Source organism: Homo sapiens, chromosome 11 (assembly GCF_000001405.40).
Source record: "Homo sapiens chromosome 11, GRCh38.p14 Primary Assembly".
NCBI lineage: Eukaryota > Metazoa > Chordata > Mammalia > Primates > Hominidae > Homo > Homo sapiens.
This window is the reverse complement of record NC_000011.10, coordinates 76648350-76655596: the sequence shown is the minus strand read 5'-3', so window position 1 is coordinate 76655596 and position 7247 is coordinate 76648350. Positions and strand designations below refer to the sequence as shown.

General features: G+C 44.3%; 1 annotated feature.

The window, feature by feature from the left end:
- Positions 1305-1828: an enhancer, noted in NCBI's record as "H3K4me1 hESC enhancer chr11:76364813-76365336 (GRCh37/hg19 assembly coordinates)". NCBI's record gives its function as "activates a minimal SCP1, AML or CMV promoter by ChIP-STARR-seq in naive H9 embryonic stem cells {active_cell/tissue: H9 hESC(naive)}" and the evidence as "EXISTENCE:reporter gene assay evidence [ECO:0000049][PMID:30033119]".

The following is a 7247-nucleotide window of genomic DNA, read 5'->3' as shown; positions in this document are numbered from 1 at the left end:
CGTCTGTGTTCTGTGCCCCTGTCCTTCAGGCAGTTCACTGAGCCCATGAGGCCCATCTCTCTCCCGCCACCTCTCACAACATGCTCAGAGATGGCCATTGTTGAGCACTTCCGGGCGGGCCCATGCTGAGCACTGGATGTGGATTGTCATGTTTAATTCTGACAGCCGTTGAAGAGATTTCTACTGTTACCATCCTCATTTTAGAGAACTGAGCTCCAGCGATGAGACTTGAACCCAGGCTGTCCCACTCTGGAGCCAGCAGTCTTAACCATTAGGCAGCACTGCCTCCTGCACCTCTCCCGCCTCCTCTGCCGGAACCAGCTCACCCCCCCACCCACCTGCACAATCTCCTTCACCACCCTCGCCTGTATCACCTCCATCACCTTCTCTGGGGAGACTGTCTGGATTTCTCTCCTCCAGCTGCCCACAGGTCTGGGCTGCCCTCAGCATTGGGTGTCTGCCTGACCCACCCACCAGGCCAGGAGGTCCTGGGGGGAGGTCCTACCTGGAGTCCTATCTGTCCCCAGGGCCTGTGAGCCAACACAGACTAAAGCCAGCTCAGAAAAGGTTTTCTGAGTGAATGGCCCCTGTCTTCCAGGACTCAGAAGCTTGTGGAGTTGAGACAAGCCCTCAGAGAGTGTGGTGAGGAGGCTTTTTGAACAGACCTAGGGGACACAGAGAGGACAGGGGAATGCAGACTGTGGGCTGCCCACGGCAGCAGGGGCCAGTGGGGAGGCAAAGAATCCTCTCTGACCACCCTCCATTCCCTGCAGCTTCCTCAGGCCTCTAGGACCCCGTCTTATCTTTGTCCTCCCCCCCTCCTTTGCTCCCCCTCGTCTCCCATTCTTCTCTTCTTGGTCATCTCCCCCCACCCCCACCCCTATCGCACTGGAAACAGTTGGGCTGTGGTGGCTGAGAATGGGGAGGGCGGGGTGGGGGAGAGGGAGGCCCGAGCTGTTTATAGGAACTGGAGCAGCTCCATCCATCAGCTCTGTTTGGAACTGGAGACCAAGCATAATAAATACCTTGGCTCCTCCCCAGCTGCGCTTTCCGTGAACTTGGCCGTCCGAACTCCAGCTCTCCCTGGCCTCCTGGTTCCCAGGATCCAGTCTCACTCCACCCCACCCTACCTCACCTCCCACCAAGCTGCCCTGGAAAGAGTCTGGCCTCTGGGACCAGAAACACGGGCCTGAGTCTAGGTTCTGCTGCTTCCTCACTGTGGGACCAAGGCCAAGACCGTCACTTAGCTGCACCTCTATTTCTGCATCTGTAAAATGGGGTCATAATCATCGCCCACACCCCCAAACTCAGCACTGCTCATTCGTTCGGCCAGAGTGGCTTGGGCATCTGCTCTGTGCTGGGCCCTAGGCCCTGCGGGATACAGGGAACAGTTGGACAGAGCCTCTGTCTATGGGGTGGAGAGAGGGGCCACACCACAACCCAAGCCAGGAAGTGGTCAGCGCCTTGAGGGAGGTCCAGATTTTGTGCTCGGGAAGTTTGTTTGCAGCAGGGAGCAGCCCTTCCAGCTGGAGAAGTGAGGCAAGACTTCGAGGACATCTGGGCTGGCTCTGCAAGGAAGGGTAGGATTTCAACACGTGGAGATGGGAAGAGGCTTTCCAGGCAGAACAAATGGCAGGACCCAAGGCCTGGCAGCAGGAAGAGCCAGGGCATGTCTGGGAGTAGAGGGGTCTGCCTGGCCCAGCCTCCATCGCATCACTTTCTCCTCTCTCCTCATTCAGCACCTTCTGCTCAGGACTTCCAGCCTTCTGAAATCTTCCCTCCTTCCCTGGAGAGCTTCCAACTCACCCAGCTAGGCCCTCCCAAGTTGTGGATGCATTCCCAGAATTCTGCCATCATGTCCCCACTCCCTCCTTCTCTGAAAAAGCCACCCTAGAAAGCGGAAGATTCAGATCGGGAAAAGGCATGGACCAATAGCATGTTTCTGGAGTGAATAAGGGAAAAAATGAATAAAGAAATGCAGAAAAGATTGAGTCAATGAAGGAGAGAGTGAGTGAGCAAATGACTGAAAGCAGCCAGCATTGCCGGGACCCTGCCGCATCTCATACTGGGTGCTGCACAGGCAGCGTTCCTCCTCTTGTGGCGCTTGGGAAATAGACATTAATCACACACAAACAAAAACGATGGCAAATTGTAATGAGGGCTATGAAAGGGAGTGAAGGGCAAGATCACTGAGGGGTGGGACTCAGAAGAATCCTTTCTGAGGACATGACCTGTCAGCTAAGACGGAAGGAGGACTTCAGTTGAGAGAACAAGTCAATTAATACTCCGTGGCCTCTTCCACTCACTCTCATGAATTTGCCAAGTCGCCTGGGGAGAATGGGGCCTGAACTCTGGACCCTGAGGTCCTTTCTCATGCACTGAAAGCAGCCCCCCAGCCCTGGCCCCTCCCTGCGACTTGGTGACTTGACTGCCCTATTCTAGCATCATGGAAAACACATGGAAGGCCACGTATAGGGTGGTGGGAGGGATGCCCAAGGGAGTCACGCATTTTGGGGGGAGGGGGCTAGCTAGGCTGCAGGATGAGGGAGTCCAATTCCAAAGGCCCGTGCTTTTTTATTTTATTTTATTTTTTTGGTGGAGGATGAGCCAATAATGTCTCCCTCCTCACTTTCCACACTGCTCATGTCAGCTTGTACTACCCTCCCCTTTGACCCCAGATAACCCACTGTATCCAACCTCCTGTATGTTTTCTCCTTAATTGAGTAATCACTGACAGACACATTTACATTGTATGCAAACACACATATGCAAGTATTAGAGATTTTAATTGTTATTTTACAAAAATGGGATCATATTCTATTATACTCTCTTGCATTTCGCTTTTTTATGCAATAGTACTTCAAGGAAATCCCCCGAAATAAACTGATATAAGTTTCACATAATTTTTGACATTACATAATATTCCATAGCGTGAATATTGCACGATTTATTCAGCCATTCACCTATTGATGAACAATAGCTTTATCTTTTCTTTAACTATAAACATGAGGCAAAAAATTCTATTCCTATGCCTATACTCTCTAGGGTTTGTGTTCTCATGGAATGAATGCCTAGAAGTAAATCAATGGAGATATATATATTTTATACACTTTTAATGTATATTATATATACTTTTAATAAAGTTTGCATTTCAAAAAAACAGTAATGTTTCACATTTCCGCAAACAACGTATGAAAGTATCTTATCCTGTGCCTCCCTACCAGAAATGCAGGTTTTAGCTGTGGGTATAAAACGATCTCTCATTGTTACTTTAAATTGCATTTTCCTGCTGCTGGAGCTGAGCACGTCTTCATTTGTATTTTTGGCCATTTGGATGAACTCTTCTGTGAATTACCCATTTTTATCCTTTGCCCATTTTTCTACTGAGTTAACTATTTCTTATTAATTTGTAAATCCTTATTGTATGTTGTAGATCTTAAACTTTGTCTCACATTTCCATAATTCGTTTGTCTATTGACCCTGCTTATGTATCTTTTGGCCTACAATGTTTTCCAAGGTCTCACTTTTCCTTAATCGCTTCTCAATTTTATTAAGTTTCACTCAGGTTGCTCATATAGTCTCCTAAATTTTCTTGTAAAATTTGTTATGTTGGCTAGGTGCGATGGCTCACATGTCTAATCCCAGCACTTTGGAAAGCCGAGGTGGGTGGATCACCTGAGGTCAGGAGTTCAGGACCAGCCTGGACAGCATGGTGAAACTCCGTCTCTACTAAAAATACAAAAAAAGTTAGACAAACCTGGTGGTGCATGCCTGTAATCCCAGCTACTCAGGAGTCTGAGGCAGGAGAATCGCTTAAACCCAGGAGGCAGAGGTTGCAGTGAGCCGCGATGGTGCCACTGCACTCCAGCCTGGGTGACAAGAGCAAAACTCCATCTCAAAAAAAAAAAAAAAAAAAAAAACCAAAATTGTTATCTTGTTTTTTATTTTACATTTAAATCTTTACATAACCTGAGATGTTGTTGATTTTTTTTTTTTTTTAAATAGAGAGAGGGTTTCCCTATGTTGCCCAGGATGGTCTTGAACTCCTGGGCTCAAGAGATCCTCCTGCCTCAACCTCCCAAAGTGCTAGAATTACAGGTGTTAGCCACCACGCCCAGCCAACCTGAGATGTGTTTTTTATTTTGAAGTTGAATAATCATCCAATTTTACTTGCTTCAAAATGAATAGTAATTTTGAAAGCATTGCTTATTAAGTAATTAAAAGGTTACTCTGTCAGATATTAAATTCTGATATATATTTGAGATCTATTTCTGGATTTCTTTTTTTTTTCACTAATCTATTTCTCTGTTTCTATACCATTACTCTAATGATTGGTTTTAGAGTTGGTTCTGATACCTGCAAGACAAGTCATCTTGTACTGTTACTATTTTTCATGTCTTTTTGGCTATTCTCAGGAATTTATTGCTTCATATAAACATCAAGATCATTGCACTCTGTTTGGAATTGATTTTGGAAGGTTTGACATTTCTATATTAAGTCTTCCCATCCAAGAGTATGATGTATCTTTCCATTTGTTCAGATCTTGTGTTCTCTTTTTTTGTTGTTGTTGTTGTTGTTGTTGTTTTTGAGACGGAGTCTTGCTGTCACCCAGGCTGGAGTGCAGCGTTGCAATCTTGGCTCAATGCAACCTCTGCCTCCTGGGTTCAAACGATTCTTCTGCCTCAGCCTCCTGAGTAGCTGGGACTACAGGTATGTGCCACCACACCCGGCTAATTTTTGTATTTTTATTAGAGATGGGGCTTTGCCATGTTGGCCAGGCTGGTCTCAAACTCCTGACCTCAGGTGATCCACCCACCTCAGCCTCCCAAAGTGCTGGGATTACAGGCATGAGCCACCACGCCCAGCCTCAGATCTTGTGTTCTATGTTGCTACAAGATTGTATACCTTTCTTCATAGAGACCCTATATCTTTCTTGTTACATTTATTTCTGAATATCGTTTTTGTCAATATCATAATGGGAATATTTTTTCTATTTCCGTTTCTATGCATTTATTGTCAAAAATAAGAAAAGCAACTGGTTTTTGTACATTTATCTTATATCTAATAACATCATTTTTTCTTAATAATTCAAATATGTTTTTCTTTTGCAGTTATTTTATCTTATTTGCTAGAGGCTCTGAGGTTTTCTAGATATACAATAATTTAATTGCCTCATTGCTCCCACAATTCCCTTGACACTCTCACTACAGTAGCATCTACCTCCAGCCATGTCTTTCCTCACCCGGCCTGCACCCAGGTTACAGGGAATCCCACTGCCCACAATAGAATTTCTTCTCTCATTTCCTCTCTTCTCAAAGCTAAGACTCCAGTTCCCTGTTTCCCTGGTTTACAGGAGCAGAGTAGGGTATGGGTGGGGGTGCTCAGGTTCTCTGCTGCTTTGTTCCACAGAATGAATTTGTCCCACCCTCACTGGAATTCAGCTTTCCTAGAGCAAAGGTTGAAAACTGGTGGCCTTTGGGCCAGATTTAGCCTTCAGACATGCTTTATTTGGCCCACACAGTGGTTTATAAAAATTTTGATTAGTTGCCAACATTTAAAAATTGTAAGAGTTGTTTTACACGGGAACATATAAAAATCTGGATTTCTAATTTTTCTTAAAATCCTGAAAGATCTGAGAAACTGGGCCCTCAGCCCACAGGACAATGAGTGGCAGGAGCTGTGAAATCACATGTCCTACCTAGACTATGAGCTCCTCAAAAGCAGGAGGTCATCCTGCCCCTTCTGTACCCCCAGCATGTACCCCTAGAGCCTGGCTCCAGGCAGGGGTTCATGAAAGCTTAATTCCTTTCCTTCAGTAAGTTTTAAAGATATGTGAGTTGACCCATACAATAAGGGTTCTGAACTTTATTATGCCTTGGCAGTCTGGTGAAGCCTAAGGACTTCTTTTCAGGATAAGGTTTTCAAATTCATAAAATAAAAAATACACATGATTACAAAGGAAACCAATTCTATTGACTGCTTATCAAAATATTAAAAAATAAATTGTGAATTAGTAATACATGTTCTTTATGAGCACATTACATAACAAGATCTAGTGGCAAGTCTAATAACTACTGTAATTTTGAAGCACCGATGAGCATAAATGATATTCTGAGAGATCTGTAAGAAGGCAGGAAAACGTGTGATTTCTGTTGGTTACAGGACTGCTAAAGTCATTTGTACTCTGAATACTATGGGGATTCGTGGCTACATTCAAGATGGAAAGAATGATTACATTTCAATGAGAAGCTAATGATGAAAATAAAGACGTAATTTTTTCTCAACCAAGTTCACAGACCCCAAGAATTCTACCCACAGATCCCGTGGATCTCAGATCAAAACCTCTACTTTCGGGAAAAGGTGGGAATGTCAGCTACAACCAAGTCACAATAACAAGGAAACACAATCCCTTAGAAACTGCCCCAGTTGTGGTTGTTCTCATTCAAGGCAGAGTGGGAGTGTAAATGAAATCACCTATTCTGGAGGGCCCTTTGGCAATACGTTCCAAGAATCTTAAAAATGTGCATCTGCTTTAATCTAGCAATTCTGTTTCTAGGAGTTTATCCTAAGGAAATAAAGACGTAGCCAAAAAATAGAAAAAAAAATTGAGCGTGAAGACGTTTGTCATAGCCAAGGACACATCCAGTTTTTGTGGAGCCTGAAGTTTATACAATTTAGGGGGCCCCTATAACGCAAAGAATACAAAATTATGAATATAGAATTGCTAGATCACTCCCAGGCATTTGAAAGGGACTTGTGCAAATGGGGTCCTTTCATCAGCTTCACATAAATTCACCCCAAACATAACATTATTAAACATAATCATCTAAAATTAGAAACAACCTAAAATGACCAACAATTGGGGATGGATATAAGTTTTAGTATATTTGCATAAGTGATATTAATCACTCATTTAAAATGATATGAATGTAGCAGTCTACTGACATGGAAAGATGCTCAAAACATAGTATGAAGCGAAAAAGCAGGTTATAAAATGGTGATTACGTATCAAAATCCCAGTTTTGTTAAAATAACATAATATTTATGTGTAGTAAGATGTGAAATGGGACTTTCCTGTCTCAGAACTGCTGCTGTACCCTAGAGCCTCAAAAGCAGCACCAGACACAATCCAGCAGGACTTGGGCAGATTGTGATGCCCTCATACAGGCTCAGAGCAGCCTTGGAGCAGGCACTGACCTGGGAGAGAAGGATGGATGCAGGGGTTTTCCTTGGGGAGAGTCACCTCA